The sequence below is a fragment of the Homo sapiens genome, chromosome 18 (assembly GCF_000001405.40).
Source record: "Homo sapiens chromosome 18, GRCh38.p14 Primary Assembly".
Taxonomy (NCBI): domain Eukaryota; kingdom Metazoa; phylum Chordata; class Mammalia; order Primates; family Hominidae; genus Homo; species Homo sapiens.
The window spans coordinates 28,904,902-28,926,889 of NC_000018.10; positions in this window are offsets into that span (position 1 = coordinate 28,904,902).

Below are 21,988 nucleotides of genomic sequence, written 5' to 3' on the forward strand. Positions count from 1 at the left end.
AAATGGAAGTTACTCAGCATGAGATCCAAACATTTCTGCAAGATGAAGCACACAGTCCCTATCTCTTTCTTCCCTTCTCTTTTCCTTCCTTCCTTCTTTCCTTCCTTCCCTCCCTGCTTCCTTCCGTCCTTCCTTCCCTCCCTGCTTCCTTCCTTCCTTCCTTTCTCATTTTTTCTTCCTCTTTCCTTTTCTTCATTCCTTCCCTCCTTCCTTCCTTCCCTCCCTCCATCCTTCCTCCTTTCCTTCCTTCCTTCTCTCTTCCTTCCTTCTCTCTTTTTCCTTCTTTCCTCCTTTTTTCTTCCTCTTTTCCTTCCTTCTTTCCTTCCTTTTCTCCTTTCTTCCTTCCTTTTTTCCTTCATCTTCCTTCCTTTCTTCTTCCTTCCCTCTTCCTTTTTTCCCTCTTTTTCCTTCCTTCCTTCCCTCTTTCCTTCATTCCTTTTTTCTTCCTTCCTTCTTTCTTTCTTTATTCTCTTTTTATTTTTAACCAGTAAAACTGGACAAATTATTTCAGGAGTGAAATCCTCAATTTCTCCTCTTATTCATTTTTTCCTTTATTTTTTGGAGCACATTAATTATAACTATTTTAATGACCTTGTCTGATAACTATTATTCACAGGATCATGTATGTTCTGTTTCTGTTGTCTTTTGTTTCCTGTTAAGAATTAAATTTACTTTTTATATTACTTGAGACTTTGTACCTAAAAGAATCTTAGAGGATTCAGATAGTGTTGTCTTCCACCAGAGAGGATATCTTCCTTTTGTGGTTAGGCAGCTAGGATGGGAAGTGACTAATCACTTCAATCCAGGCAGGAAGTGTGCTGGGTTGGAGGTGGATGGTGGTTTTGATAAAACTACCGTGTTGCAGGACAAGGCCCTTCCATGGTATTTCTCATCTGAACTTTAAAATACTAGGAGACATCATTTGCACCTTCAGTGGTTTTCAGCTTAGCTATCCAGCCTCTTGTCCTAGGCAGTTTCAAAATTTGAAAAAAATTTGTGGGTGTGCCCAACCACGTAATGAAGTACACACTCCCTCTCTTTAGTGTGTGTGTGTGTGTGTGTGTTTTCCCGATCATTGAAAGTTTAAAGGAGTTGTTTTTAGGAATAGTTCAGCTGAGCTCTTCATACTATCCCAGTGCACCAGAACTCAGCGAATATCCCTGAATTTAAGTTTTCTCAAGTGTCAGATTTACCATCCCAGTCTTATGGAAGAACAAAAACTTTTCTGGTTCCACTTTTACTCTCAGCAGAGTCCTGCCCAGGTTAAGGCTGATCCTTAGTCCACACCAAGAATCAGCAAATGTTCTGAGAGCTAAAACCACCTGCAGTCATCAGCTCACCTGGAGTGATTCTCTTTTCTCTGTAATTATAGCTCACCTAGTAGTCATTGCTCTCACAGCTCTTTGATGACTTTAAAAATGTGATTTTGGCCGGGCGCGGTGGCTCACACCTGTAATCCCAGCCCTTTGGGAGGCTGAGGTGGGCAGATCACTAGGTCAAGAGATCGAGACCATCTTGGTCAACATAGTAAAACCCCGTCTCTACTAAAAATACAAAAATTAGCCAGGGCTTGGTGGTACGTGCCTGTAGTCCCAGCTACTAGGGAGGCTGAGGCAGGAGAATTGCTTGAACCCGGGAGGCAGAGGTTGCAGTGAGCTGAGATCACGCCATTGCATTCCAGCCTAGAGACAGAGCAAGCCTCCATCTCAGAAAAAAAAAAATGTGATTTCATTTTGTAACATCCTGGCTTTTTAAAAGTTGTTGCAGTATAAGCATTGGCCTTCCTCATCTACTTTTAATGTCAAAAAAGTCAGACAATTTTTGCTCCCAACATAATTTGACTTTCACTATTCATAGATTTAAAAAATGAATAATGAAGAAAGCTATCATGCCTTCATTAATGCTTTTCCATAAATTTGAATTTTTACCAATCACAAGAGAATTTATAAGCATCTGAAAAATAACTACACATAAGTTATTTTATAGTTTCAGAATGAAGGCAAAATACTGTCGCGTATAGATTCACAAAACAATTGCATGGTCACAACATACAATTTGACAACGGTGGGATTAGGTGTTTTATCCAAACATATATAATCAATAGCCTGGGCAAGAATTAGTCAAATTCTGCCAATTCTAAATCCAAATCTCTAAACTCTGCAACCTCCTCATTTGAATATGAATTTGTGAGCCAATTAAACATTGGCATATGTCTTCTGTGAAATAGGATTAGGCAATTTTTGTTTAGTAGCCTACATTGATATAAGTTGGATCATATAATATTAACTGTTATATGACATTATTATTATTAAGAAATCTAGGCTGGGCATGGTGGCTCATGCCTGTAATCCCAGCACTTTGTGAGGCTGAGGCAGGCAGATTACGAGGTCAGGAGATCGAGACCATCCTGGCTAACACAGTGAAACGCCGTCTCTACTAAAAATACAAAAAATTAGCTGGGCATGGTAGTGGGCGCCTGTAGTCCCGGCTACTAGGGAGGCTGAGGCAACAGAATGAACCTGGGAGGCAGAGGTTGCAGTGAACCAAGATCATGCCACTGCACTCCAGCCTGGGCGACTGAGCGAGACTCCGTCTCAAAAAAAAAAAAAGAAATATATAATTTTTTTTAAAAAAAAGAAATAGAGCAATGAGATGATTCTGGAGGTTGTAATTTCTGTTCGTTCTACCTGCTTCTATTAAGGAGTTCAGGTTCTTCATAAATTCTCGGCTTAAAGGATTTTTGTTGTTCGGCTGAAGCACAAGTTGTTCTCAGACACTCTTATTTTTCTAGGCTTTATTTTCTGGAGCCTCATTCCTGGATGGGATGATATTAAAGGGAGCTGGATTTAGGGTGTGGTGAATGGGAGTAGAAGGAGATAGGCCTTGAAGAGTCCTGTCCCTGGAGGAACCCCCTGATAAAGATGAGGTCTGTGAGAGGATTGGTTGCTAGACTGGTCATAGGCTTCCCAGAAAGGAGCCCCTTGTCATCCATGGTGATATGCTTTTAAGTGACCATATGTAAGTGACCATGTGGGCTTAGAAAAAGAGAATATCCCTGAAGGCATAATGATTAGAGGCTTTTCCCTAGTTCTCCCATATCCAGACAAGTTTCCTAAATTCTTTTTCTTCTTTTTTCTTTTTTTTTTTTGAGACGGAGTCTCGCTCTGTCGCCCAGGCTGGAGTGCAGTGGTGCGATCTCTGCCTCCCAGGTTCAAACAATTCTCTGCCTCAGCCTCCTGAGTAGCTGAGATTATAAGCACCCACCACCACGCCCGGCTAATTTTTTGTATTTTTAGTAGAGATGGGGTTTCACCATCTTGGCCAGGCTGGTCTTGAACTTCTGACCTCGTGATCCACCCGCCTCGGCCTCCCAAAGTGCTGGGATTACAGGCGTGAGTCACCGTGCCCAGCCCCTAAATTCTTTTATGACCCTAGGGAAAGAAGGACAGTGACCATAACAATGGATATGAAATTTTCTGGCATGTCAGTTAGATACGATCTCAAAGTCACACTCAAATAAATTTTTTAAATGGACGGTGTTTTCTTCCTCAATTTTGTGACTTCAAATCCTTACACACAAAGATGATATAAAGTGTTAATAAAATGGGCATTAAATAAATAGAATTATTTGCCATTGACCTTATGGATGTCAAGTCATCAACACTGGGTTTACCTTTGGACTCTATTCCAAGATTTTTCCATTTCCCCAAAAAAATTGCAAGAAAAAAAGCCTGAATCCTGAACCACACATTAGTCAACATAAACTTAAATGATTTGAGTATTTTATGTGTACATACACAGCTAATGAAACATTAGTGGATTTTTAAGCACTTTGTAATTATAAATATAGAAATTATTAAAGAGATAACTAAAGGAAGTATTAAAATTATAGCCATAGGAATTATTGAAAATTATAGGAATTATTAGTTAACTAGCAAAAAGCTAAGTGAGAGGAAGGTAATCCTGGGTTGGTTGTAGGATGAAAAGGCAATGTAAGAACTGAACATCTCACTGTAGCACCAATCATGAGAGGTATCACTTATAAATTTTTTAAATGAAGTAAGGACCTCGTGCCTCTCTCCAAACACGGACTCCCAGCAAATGTCATACTGTTACTCTGAACTTACAGTTCTTCAGTAAAATGACAGTATCTGAAGAGTTAATATTTCTAAAGAAAGAGAGAGGAATTTTCTTATAGATATTGTTTGCTAAAATAAGTCTCATTGTAAAAGGTAAGGATTCATGCATTAATCAGAGCTTTGTGAACTCTCACATTAAGCAGCTTTGTTATGCTAATTAACTTGTAAATGAAGAATGGAGTGATTCTCCCATTATTGAATATCATTCTTAAGGGCCTGATTTAGAAAAATAAAGATATCCTTTATGCTTGCAAATGATGCTAAGCTGTGGATCAGGAGTCTATTTTAGTGGAAAAGTCACCCTATTTTTTAAAAAGTTGCTACATATCCATTAAGCTTTATATTTAGTTTTAGTCAGCCAATGAATTTTACAAAAGAAATATCTGTTCGGGAAGGAAATAACACAAGACAACTTTGAGAATTTATTTCCACACAATCTCCCCTTGAAAGGCCAATGTATCATAACTAAGAAAAATCTCAGTGCATCTATACCAGAGGTCAAAACTGCTGATCTGAAGGTTATAGACTTGTCAAAAGAGATGTATCATTTAACGAGTAGTGTTTTGCTTTAATTTTTAAAATTTGAAATTTGGTATTTTTTAAAATATGAGAGAGTGCATACCAAAATCCTGATTTCTAGATTTTGGTGGAAAATTAGAAGATATGACAAATACAAGAGCAATGTTTATACTGGACAACAATCACCTGGAGCTGAATAGCAGCTACTGCTACTAAAGTGACATTTTCTCTAGTTCATGCCACATGTTAGATGCAGTGTATCATCATAGCTTACACTATCATTCTTCTTATAACAGAATTACAAGAAAAGGGATATATTCTTACAATGTCTCTATCAAAAGTGAGGAAAAAAATAAACAGCTTCCATCTTCAAGAAAAATATTAGAAAGTACTTTTTTGTATAAAATAACATTTAGTTTTTATATTAAAAAGGATTCTACTTCTAAAATACCACCAAGATACATAATAATATCTACCACATCATTAAGAGTGGCAACTAATATTGAAAAGAGGACATACTAGTAAAAAAAATTCAGGGAACTAATAAAAATTGAATTTTATTCAGGTTTATTTTTATATTTTGTTGATTTTTAAAGACTTGTTTGTATGTCAAATGCTGTTATAAATTTAGGACTTTATTACATAAAAATAGTATCAAAAACTGTTACAGATTGTAAATTTAACTGAGGGTCTATTGGATGTAGCAAAAAGGGTATGTGGCAGCCATTTGCAAGTATAAATATACCACAGGATACTCTAGCTCAACTTACTAAAGATATGTCTGAGAAGACTGACTGAAAAAAGGGAGAGAAAAAGTAAAATTGCTATTTTGTAGTTAATTAAAAATTAGACTTTAAAATTGCCACCTAGTTTTTCAGATTTCTCCTGTTGTAATAAAAATTAATGAACATTTCGGCATGGAGCTTTTGAGAAGCACAATATACGGCAATGGAATATTTATTGTGCACAAAGAATTCTTTGATCATTAGTTGGTTAAAATGAGTAAGAGAAAATACTGGTACTCTTCTCACAGTAACAGCAGGTTTGACACAATAATTAAATCTAATGTGGCCACGTTTTTAAGACCATGGTGCCTAACTCCATTTATTATCTTCACAAATTCCTAAGATAAAACATTAAAATTGAAACTACCTTTATAAAGATTATAACAGTGAGACAATTATGACAGTGAGAGAGATCTGACCTAATCAACTCCATCTTGCCTTTAACCTCCAAGCTGCCCTTGTTCTTTCCTAGGTGTAGGCCAAACTAACTTTGGGAGAAATTTAGTTTATATTTAGTCTTAAAACAAAGATGACCATTTTCTCTCCCTGAAACAATTCCCCTCCTTGCGTGGGGACTAGACTGCCTTTGTAAAACTAACAAATTAGCCACAAGATTAGAAAGTATAGCTCAAGAGTTATGCATCCAGAGACCAAAAGATTTTTAACTTCCCCAATTGTTCCTATGGATAACATTACCGTTGCAAGACCTAAGATTAGCATTTGAGATATTTTTCAGACCCTGCATTCTGATGAATCAGCTGTCACCACTTAGACCAGTAAACTGACATGTCTTGTCCTGTGGCCTCTACCCAGGAATTGACTTAACACAAGAGGACAGCTTGGACTTCCTATGATTTCATCCCCAATCCAACCAATCAGCATTCCCCTACTCTAGCCCTCTGCCTGCCAAATTATTTTTTAAAAAACCTGACTTCCAAGTTTTGGGGGAGTCTGTTTTGAGTAATAATATAACTCTCTTCTCTTGTTTAGCCAGCTCTACGGGTATTAAACTCTTTCTCTATTGCAATTCCCATGTCTTAATAAATTGGCTCTATTGGCGCAGGAGGCAAGAAGAACCCATTAGGTGGTTACAAATATGGGGGCTTGTCTGGGATAGCCCCTTGTAGCTACCTGCCACAGTTCAGCAGCCACTCACTAGCAGCGGATGTGGAGGCCAACCCAAGCAGCTGCTTAGTTCTTTTAGATTGAGGTCTACCTCTAGCACTGTCTCTACTGGTGGTGTACTGTCAACCCATAGATCATAGATTTAATTGCGGTGGAGAAATAATCCTGGAAGATGTTTTGTAATCTGGTTTGGTGAATATTCCAGGGGCTGCCAACACCTCCTTCCTTCTCCTGATCTGTTGGCCTCCCTAGAGGAACTGTAGCTCTGTTATAGGGACTGGCTAGTTCTCTAGACCTGTCATGGTGACTGCTTGACTCTTCATAGATTGTAGAAAGGGCCTTGGTTTGAGGAGATTACTCCACAATTGGACAGAGAATAGGGAACTTGTTTGGAGGAATACTCTTCTTGTGTGGAATCTGGTTTGCAGTCTTGGTTTAAAAGGCCTTCTGTTTGTCTTTGCTTCATTGTGTGTGTTTCTTTATGGAGGGGAGATCTCTGAAGGAATTGCTGATGAAGTCCAGAAGGCTCTCCTAGTTTGTCTGCTTGGTCACATTCAGTGAGCCCTGTAGGAAGCTCAACAGGCCTAATTAAGGGATTCTTCTGCTCTTCCATCTTGCCCAGAGACTGCCCTTTAAAACTCCTGTTTGGAGGTCATCTCTCCCTACTTTGGGTGGATCCAAGATTATAGGGGTCAATATGGGGAAGTTTGAGCCTTGCCAGGTTGATATTTGGGCACTGAGCCAGGTGACTAATGTCTGTGTTCCATCCCGCGTGTTTTGCTCTGGCTGGAATGGGAACTGTTAATTCAGTTCCACTGTGCAGCCTGTTGGGCAGCATTTTATAAAATTGAGGGACTTTTGCCTATTGTTCAATAGAATGGAAAAAGGTGATTTTCTTTTGTAACACAACTTGGTCCCCACAGCTATGGTGCAGGAAGCAGAGTCATCAAAAGCCACTGTATTCTTCCAGAAGCTGTAGAGAAAGGGAACCTAGAAACCTGGCATGCTGGCAAAAGGGTAAGAATGTCTTATCAACCAGACTTCTGGCCTCTCTCTTTCTGTGCAAACAGGTTGAGTGAATGGTAAAAATCACTGTTTGTCTCCTCTGCAAGGTTTTGATTAATAGGAAAATGGATTTGTGAGCCTCGTCTTAGGCTGTAGCAAATCTGGTGTCCTTTGTGCTATAAATTTGTCTTTCTGTGTCATTCTGTTATAAAGAGGGGTACCACAGGATAGGATAGCTAGGACCCCTGTAAGCCTGCTGTTTGAGCCAAACCTGCAGATCGGTCAGTTACAAATTTTGCTGCATATCCTTGAAATAAAAAATGCAAAGAGATTTTCCTCTCATCTTGTTTTATATCCTTGAAAACTTGACTTTGTGACCGTATGGGAGTACTTTGTCTTGATCTCAGCTAACTGGAGGGTGGCAATTTTCAGGTACATGTAATAGCTAGCCTAAAAATTTTTCTTAAGCAGTTAAAATCCTTTGCAAGCTTGAAAATGAGTACTCTAGACTCCTGGGAAGAACAATGGTAACTGCTCCATGTGGTAGCTCAGTAGCTAAAGCTTGGCCCTTTCACAGTGGAACTTGGGTTCAGTTCTCAGCTCAGGAAATTATTCTTTTCTGGTTTGGTATTAGTGTGACAACTTCTGATTTCCTGTATTAAATTTTCCTTTCTTTGAGCTACCTTTCAGGTGATTCTCAATCTTGTAAAAATTGATTGCCGTCTCTGGAGACACCTCATGTATCCTTGGTTAATTCATAATTGTAGTTAAGGTTTTTATAATTTCACATAGGAGGTTACCTTTGGTAAAGTTCAAAAGCCGAAAATATCAGCTGTCCTGGCTAAAATCTGGTAATTAAAAATTTAAAAGAATTTTTAAAAGCTCTGCAGTTAAAACCATTTAATTAAGGCTGATAATTGGGATATATGGGTAAAGATATTGTTTTAAAGCCCCTTCCTTCCCTCTGTAAAAACTTCTCAGTCAGTAGAATTCTGCCCAATTCTCCATTTACCTCTATCTGTCCCTCCTTCCTCTTACGTCTAATCTTTTTGACTTTTAAGTGGACCAGAAACTTATTTACATTATAAAAGGACTTTTAGACATGATTTGTAATAGTTAGACAGGAGATATAACTTTTTGGGGTTGCTAATGCCAGTTATGGCGGGGATACTCAGCTCTTGGCACATTTAAATCAGAAAAGCATGCTTTTGGTAACCTAGAAGGTACAGAAATGTCCTTACACCCTTACTGAGAGATAAGACTCCTATGGGAAATGAGCTGATTACAGAATGAGCTGATTGGCCTTGGGTTGGACACTAGCCTCAGGGGAATATCCTTGCAATGAGATGCATGGTGAAAGCATTACATAGTCTGGTCCCCTAGTGTTCCTCTCATTTTGGGGATCCAGGATTTGATGTAAAAATGGGATCCTTGATTTTTAGTATCTGTTTTGCCGTCCAGCTGTGCTTGCTTTTTAGGCCCTAAAAACTGTATGTTTTCTTGGCCCTGTTACTTAAAAGGCTCTACCCTGAAGCCAGTAATCCAATTAACTTACTTCTTTAAGGAAATGTTTATATGTAAGGGTGTCTGCTTTTCCTCTCCATCTCACCTGAACTTTCACTCACGCCATTTTTCCTTTGTTTGCATAAAATATAAATTCTATATCTTGTTTCACTTAAGTTTGTCTCTTCAGAAATGCAGATTTAGAGTTGCCCGGCTAGGAACTGTTTATGGCAGGAAGCAGGTATTCAAGAGACTGTTGGTCTAAAATGGGGAAGAGAAGCTTAAAACTAGCAATTGAAAAATCTTTTGTCTGTCTGTGTAGGTTGTGTGTGTGATGTTTCCCTACTGAAATATATAAAGGTGCTCTAATTAATTGGCTTTAAAAAAATAAGCACTTACATAAAATATTTTGTCAGAAAAATAGAAACTAAAATGCCTTTTAGCTCAAGTGACTTTAATAATCTTTAGTAAATAAAAATAGTTTTACAATTATTGACAAAAGTCTTTAAAATTTAGACATTTGGACTCTACTAGGCAGGTCAGATATTGAATTAGGCAGCTTGGGTGCTTTCAGTTTATAAACTGCTTCTGTGACTTTTGATAGTTGCTCCTCACTTGCCTCCTTTAGAGCCTTGAGATTGTAGGTAAGGCCTGGGGACGTGTGGGGTTATCCATGCCCCCTAGCCATGCTGGAAAGAGTCAGACATTACCTGCAGTTCTGTCCAGTGTCCTAGGCTCTACACTTGGTACATAATTAAAATTGCTTATACTAAAAATAAAGTTATGTGCTATTGATCAAAGCATGAAAACGTGATTTTAAAAATTGGCTGGTTTCAAGGATTTAAGGATTGCTTTAAGTGAAAAAAAAGGTTTAAACTAAAGTTTTAAACAAGTTGTAAAAAGTTTGTAAAAATTAATCTATAAATGAATTCTGTTTATGAACAAGTTGGCTAAAAATTAAAGAAATTTAGTTTTTTAATGCATTGAACATTGAAATAAAAGCACACAGATGTAGGTCGAGATTCTGGGCACATATGTATTAACAAGGTTTTCTTAGAGCATTTATCTGCTCTATAACAAAAAAATTGTAAAGTATTTTAAGAGGTTTATGAAAATCTTACCTTATGGTCAAACTGATTAAGATGGGATAGATTTGTTTAAAAAATCTTATTAAATTTGGGTTTCACATTCACTTTATACTAATGCTAAGATAAAATTTGATTTTTCCTTTTAAACAAGATTTTTATGTAAAAAAAGATTTCTGTATAATAGTGAGAGACAATAAAAGACTTTTGTTTACCATTTGAATAAACTACAGAAAGTAAAAGAGGGGAGAGAGAAGAAATAGATTCAGTTGGCTCCATGTGGTCTTTATTGGTTCTCCTTTGGAAATCTGAATCTTCCCTCTATCATAGCAAAGATTTTTGCCTTTTTGAAATTTTCTTTGATTTATCACTTTGGCTAAGTAAATGACTTGTGATCCTATTTTGTGATATCAAGCATTTTAAACCTTTGATATTGACAAACATTGCAAAATCAAATTCTAAATTAAGTCTTTTTTTGACCTCATTAACTTTTAAGTATTTATTCCTATGAAGCCCAAAAGAGGCGTATTTGGCTTATTTGCTATATTAAAATTCTATACAAAGCATTGTCAGATAGAAAATGGTATTTAACTTCCTTTGAGTTACATTCATATGAATGTGTTTTCAATATATATTCCAAAATTGTATAAGATTCCTATATCATATGTCTGATATCATATTATGTTTCAGTATATATGTCTCAGTACATGTTACCAGTAATAATTATAATTGTTTGTTAAATAATTGTGTGCCAAAGAGATTTTCTTGTTAATTGCAGCTTTAACTGTGGCTGTCCTAAGATTCTTATCATCCACAGACATTTGTTGTTTTGTTTTTATCCTTTTTAAAAGGCAGTTTATAAACAGCTATAAGACTATGGTAAGTACTCTTGAATGTAGGTCTCTGATAAATTCTGAGATTGTGAGATTGGAATAGAGAGAAAAAAAGCTTCTAGGACTCTTATAAAAAACGAATGTATTCATAATATATTCATATGGACTGCTAGCCCAATATTGATTGAAACAAGAGTTGATTGCATGGACTAACAAAGGACTGAAATAATGTTTTTATGACTTTTTGCTTAAAACACTGATACTTTCTGTTTTGTGTTTCAGAATCAAAAAAATCTTTATTTTTCTTTTGAGCTATTTACAGCTTTTAAAAATTGAGTGAAATATACTCTTGTGAGCAAAATTGGAAGTATATTTTTTCTACTTAATTTCTTTAGAATTTAAAAACTATTTGTAAGCGTACTTAATTCATGACAGTATAGTTCTTACATAACTGCAGTTAAGTATCTCTATTCTTCTGTAATAGGACACATTTGGAGACATTAGTTATTTTCCCAAGGCTTTGGATGGAAATAGCATGCATTTGGATATAAACAGACTGACTTAAGGAAACAAAGGTGACTTATAGAGCCAATACAATCCCCATGGGAAAACTTTTGCCCTATACCTTGTCTATGCAGTCCCTGTACAGGGTTCCTGACTTATGGTAAGCAAAGAATGTTGCTTTTGGACATATCCAGCAGCATTAAGTTATCTTGAGACCTGAAGGGGAGAGGAATCCACCCAACTCATACAAGTATTTGCAGGAACAGATAAATCTGTGGTTGAGCTCAAGGATTTAAAATGTCTAATCTGAGATTCCTTTGAAGAAAGTTCCAGCAAAGCCAATTTAAAAAGCCTATATGGCAAATAATTAGTCTTGCTGCATTTTATGAATATAATCAGGCCAAGTATAATAAGACTAAAACTTATTTTGCCAGAAAATGTGTCCTACTATGATTTGTCTTTAGTAAAAATGAGGACTGGAGAGGGAAAAATTATGTTTCAGACAAAAACTGCATTACAGCTGTGGTTATATTATACTCTTGTCCATTATTTTTTAGTTTTTCTATTATTTTCTACAATTTGGACTGAATCTTGAATTCTTTCAGGACTAAAGTCTCCAAACTAACACTTTCAATTTTTTCTTCTATTTTTCTGACTTGGATTCAGTGAAATTACTATTATATTTTTCCTGAGTTTCTGTAAGCTAAAGCTTATTCCTTGTGATATAGATGAGAAAACTATGTCAGATTGCCACTGACTTCCTCCTATATAACTAAAGATGCTTTTAGTCTAACATCTGAATAGTTTGTGCCCAACGTTAACTTTTGTTTTTCTTGTTTCCATAAAAAATGCCTCCTACTAAAACTCTGTTTGCCTTCATCATGTATAGAGGCCTAGCCCATCTGCAATGCCACCTCCTGAAATGGCACATAGCTGTTTAACTGAACGGATCTCTTCTCATGACTAGTAAACAACTTTAAGATATGGGATGATATATTTCAATTTGCTCTTTTCTATTTATCCCAATTTGTCTTTCTAACAATTTTAAACCCAAATCTCTCTCTACTAGTGACCCCATGTCTGATTGATCTTTGAGGCTATTCACCTAAATCCCTTAGGACTTTAGATCAATTCTACAAGAACTTCCAAAGTTATGACTTTCTTTTCTTATACTAGAACTCATTATCTTATAGTCTGCTGTTTAATTAAATGCTGTGCTAAAACTGTGGGCAAGAGTACTAACATCTTTGTAATGCAAGCCTTAAAACACAAACCAGGCATTCCTGAATACATGCAGACAGCTGTGAAGCAGTTTCATTCCTCTTACCCTGGGGTCAACTTCTAGCACAACTACTTCCCCTGTCAACAGGAAGAAGTTGGAGGAGTAGTCAATCTTTTCCCATCTCCATAACTCACATCTTAAGGAACAGATGTGGTGAAATCCAAAAGGGGGCACTGAAACCACCTTTGCAAAGATTATAACAGTGAGAAAATTATAACAGTGAAGGAGATCCAACCTAAACAACTTCATCTTATTTTTAACCACTAAGCTGCCCTTGCTCATTTCTGGACATTTCTGGGCACTTTGATAAAAATTTAGTTTATAGTTTAGCTTTGAAACAAAGGTGACAACAGCCAGTCCCTGAAACAAACTCCCTCCTTGCTTGGGGACCTGGCTACCCTTGCAAAATTAACAAATTAGCCACAGGACTAGAAATTATAGCTCAGAAGTCATGCAGACAGTGGTCACAAGATTCCTAATCTCCGCAATTGCTCCTATGGATAACGTTAATATTGTAAGACCCAAGATTGGTGTTTGAAATATTTTCCAGATCCTACATTCTGGTGGATCAGCTGGCACCACAAAGACTGGTAAACTGGTTCATCTGGTCCTATGTCCCCCACCCAGGAACTGACTCAATGCAAGAGGACAGCTTTGATTCCTTATGATTTTATCCTCAATCAAATCAATCAGCGTTGCCTATTCCCTAGCCCCCTGCCTGCCAAACCATCCTTCAAAAACCCTAGGCTCTAAATTTTCGAGCAGGCTGATTTGAGTAATAATGAAACTCTGGCCTCATGTTTACCTGGCTTTACCTGCATTAAGCTCCTTCTCTATTGCCGTTCTCATTCTGAAGTTCAGGTAACTTGGTCTTGACCCAATTAAAAAATTGACTTTCTTATGTCTCCAAGAGGAAACTCCATCTTTTTATTAAACATTTCCTCAAATATTTAGACTTTTTAATAAATACAACCAATCTTCTTTTTAATAAATTTTAGCCGGTTATCAACAATCCGTTACACAAGTATTATTGGCGTCAAAAATTCCTGGTGAAATTGTATCTTTGAGAAATTCATTGAGTAAAATGTAATAGAAATAATTTTGTTTTGCTGAAATCAGTTTTCAGCAAATGGACCAACTATATTCCAATAGTGTGAACCTCAAGACAAAAATCCAGTGAAGATTTTCTTATTTCTGACTTAGTGAAAATTAATTTACATTGTTTAGTTAGCCTTTTATCATCAATATTGGTAGTTGATTGAATAAATACGTAATATGGTTTGGCTGTGTGCCCATCCAAATCTCATCTTGAATTGTAGTTCTCATAATCCCCACATGTCGTGGAAGTGACCCAGTGGGAGATAATTTAATCATGGGGGTAGCTACCCTGATGCTGTTTTCATGATAGTGAGTTCTCGTGAGATCTGATGGTTTTTACAAGGGGCTTTTCCCTCTTTTGTTTGGCAGTTCTCCTTGCTGCCACCATGTGACGAAGGACACGTTTGCTTCCCCTTCCACCATGATTGCAAGTTTTCTGAGGCCTCCCCAGCCATGCTGAACTGTGAGTCACTTAAACCTCTTTCCTTTATAAATTACCCAGTCTCGGATGTGTCTTCATTAGCAGCTTGAGAACAGATTGATACAAAAAAAAAGAACTAGAAACTGATGTTATTAATATGCAATGTAATGGAGTCTTAAAACCAAGTAGGCCAGCATTTATAGTACATTTTTACACGTATGTCTAGAATAGTTACCTTAAACACACATGCACACAGATGGATAACATCTGTATTTGCAAACAGCTATTTTCCATTGTGAATTATACTAGAAAAAAATTCAAGGATATATACTTAAGCCTTGCCATGCAAATAATTGGGAAATACAATGACATCTTGGTATAAAATAAAAGTTGTTAGGTCTCCCATTCCAACTGAAAATAAACTATAAAAGTGAATAATTAACTACATATTTTTTCTATTTTGAATTTAAGATAAAAGTTCCAAAAATACCTTTTGTCATATTAATACATTATATTTCAGAAAAAGTGAAGATGATATTTCTTGCGTCTATTAGGTTTTTTTTTTTTTTTAGCAGCTCACTTTTCTAATACTAGAAACTTCGGTTATTTATATTCTCTCCCTAGTCTTGTAGGCATTTGAGTTTGTGGCTCTGATCCAGACTGCAGAACCTGGTTGTGCCTATTCTGTTATCATGCTACTATATTTAATTCAATTTAATCCAATATAATTATATTATATGCAATTTCATTTATTCGTTTATTAATTAAATCCCTGGTTAATAATATTTTCCAACAAAACTACCACTGATGTTGGCTATTGATGCATAATAAACCAGCATAAAACTTGGGTTTATATAAAAATAATATTAATTTCTCATATGACTGTAGGCCTCAGGTTATTTAGTCTGGGTTTGGTTAAACTTGACTGGGCTTGCTCATATACATTTGTGAAATGGTTCTGCTCATATGTTCCTCATTCTTTCTCTGGGACCCATGGAGTAGCCAAGGTGTGAAACTTTGACAGTAGTGCAAGCACAAGAGAGCAAATCCCAATGTACAAACCAATTTCTACTTTCCACTTGTATCATCTCATTAACATTCCACTGGACAAAGTAAGTCACACGGCTGAATACAGAGTCAAAAGACAGTGCAACTCAGCCTGTGCACATCAGAAAGCACAACACAGTTATACAGCAAAGACTGTGAATTCAGGGGAAAGGGATGAATTGGAACCATCTTGAAATCTATTGCATGTGCTCTAGATGCCCACAAAAAATTGTAAGAAATTAACGAAGTATGAAGGAACAAAATAGAAAAACAACCATGTGCCAAGAGGAGAGGCATAGACAAAAGTGTCAAAAAGTCTTTGCTGCTAAGATTAGAAAAAGGACCAAAAAATATATATTAGGTATGGCCAGATGGAGGCCATCTGTGATCATGGCAAGCGTACTATTGTACTGGGACTAGAAGAACAAAGTGCTTACCAAGGGCAGAAAGTGGGGGAAATGGAGAGAAATATGTTGCTTAATACAAACTTGCATTTCTGTAGGATGAATAAGTCTAGAGACATAATGTACAGCATGAAAACTATAGCTGAAAATAATTGTATACTGAAAATATACTAAGTGAGTCGATTTTATTTTTATTTTTTTGAGACAGCCTTGTCCTGTTGCCCAGACTGGAGTGCAGTGGTGCAATCTCAGCTCACTGCAACCTCCACCTCACGGGTTCAAGCGATTCACATTCCTCAGCCCCTGGAGTAGCTGGGATTACAGGCATGCACCACCATGCCCGGCTAATTTTTGTATTTTCAGTAGACTGGGTTTGGCCATGTTGGACAGGCTGGTCTTGAACTCCTGACCTCAAGTGATCTACACACCTCGGCCTCCCAAAGTGCTGGGATTATAGGCATGAGCCACTGCACCCAGCCAAGTGAGTGGATTTTTTATGCTCTTACCACACACACAAAATTAACTATGCAAGGTGATGAATAGGTTAATTTGCTTAAATGTAGTAATCATTTCACTATGTAAATGTATACCATAACAGAATGGTGTACACTTTAATTATATATAGTAAAAACAAGGGAGTTAAAAGGTGAGTCACAGCCTGGGAAAAATATTTGCTGTACATGTATCCATCAGACTTGTGTACAGAATATATAAACAGGAACTCTTAGAATACAAGAGGAGTAAGACACACAATCCAATTAAAAACGGGCAAAGACTTGAATAGAAGTTTCAAATAAGAAGATATACAAGTGATCAATAAATATATCAAAACATTCTTTAAATCATTGGTATTTAGAAAAATGCAAATTAAAACTACAATTAGATACAGCTACATATTTATTAGACTGCCTAAAGGTAAAAAATGGAAAACATTAGATGACGATGGGTATGTGAAGCAGCTCTCATATTTTGCTATGGAAGTGAAATACAACTGCTCTGGAAATATCTGGAAATTTTTATTAAAATTACACACCTTTCTATAACCTAGAAATTTCGTATCCTTTAATCCTGAGATTCCTGAGATGAATGAAAAAATTTCCATGAAAATATTTGTAGCAGTAATTTATAGCATCTGAAAGCAACTCATATTTCTAGCAATAAAACAATGAATAGTTAAGTGAATATGGCTTATATCACAGAATAGTACACAAGAATGGTGAAGACTAGAACCAGATTCATTGGGTTAAGAAATAAATAAAAAGGGAAGCATATAAATGGTGCATTTTATAAAATTTATTCCCAGTGGGAAATTATTGCTCTCTAGATAACACTTTGGATGCATATGAATGCATGAATGGTTTCCCAGTCATGGGAAGGTACTTCTGACACTCAGTAGAGAGGTGAGTCAGGGAAGCTAGACATTTAGTAATTTGCAGGATAGTACCATATGACGAATGATTTTTCTACATTAGGACCAGCTTCTGAAATATCTGTTGGATATTCACAAAGTTAAAAAAGAAAACCAAATCAAAAAAAGAAAACTTTTGAGTTTTGTTTGTTTAACACCTTACTCCATGTAATATATAAATAAAAAATGGTTTTGTACAGTTTCAATATATATATATTTTCCAGGAAGGCAACCATCATGTAAACCAACAGAACATATTACTCTGTTTGCCAAGAAGTGTTCACCATTTCAGAAAAAACACAACCCTAATAGCAATGTTAATGTTTAAGACTTCAGTGCAACACATTTGTATCAGTCTATATTTGTAGTGGTTCCATTAATAAATATTCTATGTACAGGTGTAAGCATCATATTATTTCATTGTATCTTCTATGAATAGTCATGTATAACCATTTTCAAACTAAAATGTATATTATTTTTTTATAAAGTACTTTGTTTTTTTATTTTTCTTACATGTATGGCTTTGTGTTGATTTCTAAAGTACATATATATTATACAAAGGTTATTGTCTGTGCGTTTTATTTTAAATAGAAATTTGGGTGTTAAAATATTTGTAATAAAAGAAAGCTGTCAAGTCTGTTGTTATCTAGAATTTTCATTTTAGAAACTTGTGAAAAGAAAAAAATGATAATAGCTGAAGGTATATTTTAAAATTATTTTAATTTAATGTAAAAATTAGAAAGTTGAGAAGATCTTAAGTGTATTTATAGACATAAGAAGAAGTGGCAATGGAGAACAGGGTAATTGTACAGAATAATATGAGTAGTACTAACTCAAAGGGATTGAGTAGGATGGTTAACAATATATTTTGTCCTGGTACCTAATAACAAGATATACTTGATAATGCCTACATCAGTTGTCACCCAGTTTAGAGTCTTAGAATTTATTCCTGGGCAACTTTTTGCTGTTTCACACATTACTATTGTCTCCCCACTTTGACTCTAAGCTCTCTAAGTAAAAGGAACATATATGTCAATCAGACTGAGCACATATATCGCAGACTGAGCACATAAGTTGACACATGTCAAATGATCTCATAGTTAATTGCCCATTTGGGTATAGAGGTGCTGTATATTTGAGTGTATAGATGCTGGACGAAGAATGGTGGTGGGACAGAGAAGGACCTGGGGAAGATAGAATGCACAGCCAACTTTGTTACTAATAATGCAGCTGTATTCTCCTCTACCTACCTGATTCTATTACTGAGCTTAAAATTCCAGAGAATGAATAAGAGTGGGATCGCAGCAGAACATAACAGATGACTTTGACCTTTGAAAAAGTCAAGCTTTAAGTAACAGCTGTGACTTGTGGGACAAAATTGCTTTGGCAGTAGAGGGCAAGTAACCCATGTGCCTGTTCAGGTTAGAGTTACTATGTCTTCCGATGGTATTACTGTTGTTTGATTCTTCCCTATACCAAGGCTTTAAAGCCACTCACATTTTGATCCTATTGGTAACAGCAAGAGACTATTCTTATCTCTGTTTTTCAGATGAGGAAACTCAAGCAGGAGGTTATGTGACTTGGGTAAGATCAGTCAAGAAATCAGCAGGTTAAAAACAAATATCAGATCTCCTAAGGTCAAAACTTGTGTTCCAAAAAGACATGTTACCAAATCATGCAGAAATATAATAATTGAAAGGAAATATCTCTGAATTTATTCTTCCAGATTTTGATCACTTAAAGTTTTAAAAAAGCAGACACTGCTAAAAACTTATATAACTTGAAAAATATTTACTTCATAACAGTAAATAGCATGTGCAGTATTCAGACAGTATCTTCTCAGTAGTGTGTAAGTTGTACTTGATATCTAGCTGAAATTTAAAAATGTGAATTCAGTTTCTGGATTTAACGCCAACTCATTTTAACCATTTTAATTACTTAGATTCCAAATAACTCATACAATGAATGTGCATGTATGTACGTATTTATGTATGTAGGTATGTATGTATATTCATACACTATAAATGTGTGTATATATACATATATATATACACATACATACATATATATATATATTCCTTTTTAAAGCCAATGCTTTTAAAACACATTATTTAGATTGTATATTTCATAGGAACCACCCAGGAGTCATTGTACTTCACCTATTATTTATCGTGATTTTTAAAAACAGACATCAAAAAAGACAGCAGATAAGCAGTCTCAGGAAAATAGACTGCAGCTCCTTCTGATGAATCTATGTTCAATACTCTACAAAGTCTATTAGATATTCATTCATATTCCAAGACTTCAGAGTATCAAATTATGGAAAACATCATTAACATCATCATTGTCCTTGTCTTCAGCATCATCATTGTTATCCTCTGGTACTCTGTTGTTTCTTCTTCAGATTTCTTTTTATCCATAGCACTTGCCACAGTTTAATCTTCATATTCTAGAATTGCAAGCTTCATGAGATAGAATATTTTTACTTTATTTTTCCCTTTTTGTTTCCCCTGCACTTAGAAAAGTGATCTGCACATAGCATGTACTTACTATATATTAATGTGTAAGAGAAATATAATAAATTATGATATATAGCTTAATTAAGGCTCTTCTGGGTTCATATATTGAAGGTAAATCAAAACAATTGAACAAAACATAGTTTTCAAAATTTACCAGTCAGACCATAATGATAAATGCTTCTTGAGGAACAAATGCATATTTTATTGGAGTAAAAGTTAATTTCCATGAGTGAGAACATAAAAAAGGGGTAGAAGAAAGTTCTTTTTCTAAGAACTCTACCATATACAGTTTTGGAACTAATATGTTTAGACATTTACCCCTATGTAATGCTTTTAGACAACTAACTCATAGACAAATACATTAGTATTTGGACATAATCTATCCAATACAGAAAGTAGCATTTATAATCTTTCCAGCAAGTGTTGAACAGATATGGCCATATATTCTTTTTTAATGAAGTCTATTTTGCCATTTTTCCTAAATCTCAGATAAGGTTATCAGTCCTGGTATTCAATTCAAATATGCTCCCTTATTCTTAGGGCCGGGACACATTACTAGGTGCACAATAAATCTTACCCATATAGATGAATTAGAAGAAGCCAAAGAAAAAAAAAGAGAGATCTTTCCCAAATATTCTATAAAACTGAAATGTTATTATTATATGTTATTTTTACTGCTAATGTGCCTCCATTATCTCAACACATGTGGTTATGATTATAAGCATCAATTACACTCAGCATGTTACACTGAAAGAGTTAAACCCTGCCGTTCATGTCTTCAGCCAATATATGCTGAATAACTTTGGATACATGGCATTACCCCTGCCTCCAAAAAGCCTTTAGTGGAGAAAACACATACGGAAATAGACAGTTACCAATGTAAAGTGATAAAGAAAAAGAAAGAGAAAGGAAAGTAAATGTGCTATGGGAACTCACCCTTTTTCTGCGAGTCAGAGTGTTAGTGTCATCAAACTAAATTGGGTTCATTTTTCCACATGCAATGGAAAGCTGAACACTGAAGCACTGCTTTTTGCAGAGAGAAAGCCTTATGACCAGGCAGCTGAACAAGAAGGCAGGAGTCAGGCTCAAACTTGTCTCCCCATAGGATCCTTGCCACCATGGATTTAAGGGAGATATTTGAGGGTAGGTTTCAGGGCTGGACAGTGGTTGGCTGAAAGAAAAGGGAATTTGGAAAAATCCTTGGGCATGAGCTATTACCCTTACATGCTTCTTCATATGTCAGATGTTCAGAAAATGGCAGCATTAGCTTGATCTGGAGGAAGAGATTTTGGCTCTATGATGTCAAAAGGTCACTCATTGAGTGTAGACTCCAGTCAGTCATGTTGGTTCCAACCAGACTCAGCCTGTCAGCTAGTTTTGTTGAAAATAAAAGGAATTTTATTCTTGCTGTCTTCTAAGACAAGCTTAAGAAATTTTGCTCATTACCAAATTTTCTTAACCCTATAGGGCACAGTTTCATGAGTCAACATAAACTAGACTTAAGCTGCATATAAAATAACCTCCAACTCTTACAGCTTAGCAAGTAACCTTACATTTCTCACTCATCCAAGGGCCTTGTAGGTTTTTAGAAGGGCTTTGTTCCACATGTCATTCAGACTTCTAGTCTGAGAGATGCTGGGCCATCTGCTGGTCTCCCAAGCATGAGACGATAGAAGTTGGAGAATTACTCAGGGTTATTTTACTACCTGAGCCTAGATGTGCCACACATTGTACATATCACATTTTACTGATGAGAAATGTACAGAGGCTAGGAAATGTAGTTTCTCATATACTCATTAAAGAACATAGAATTGGATAATTTCCAATAGAGTAGATGCTCTTGATTACAGGATATCAAAAGTGAGAGCTGAAAACTGGGCATTACTTCCAGATAATTATTTTCAATGAATTACAAGTAGTTAGCTCTGCTGCTCCACAAGACTTCACATAGATTTCAATATAGCATTAAAAAAGCATCTGTATGATTTGTTTATGTCCCCACAAAATTCATATGTTAAAACTTAATCCCCAAGGTGATGGTCTTAGGAGGTAGGGCCCTTGGGAGCTGATTAGGTCATGAGAGCAGAGTCCTCGTGAATGGGATTAGTACCCTTACAAAAGAGGCCCCAGAGAGCTGCCTTGCTCCTTTCACCCTCTGAGGACATATTTAGAGGGTTCCATCCGTGAAGCAGAGAACAAGCTCTCAACAGACACCGAACTTACAAGCACATTGATCTTAGGTTTCCCAGCATCCAGAATAGTGAGAAATACATTTCTCCTGCTATGAGCTACTCATTTTAGAGTGTTTTAT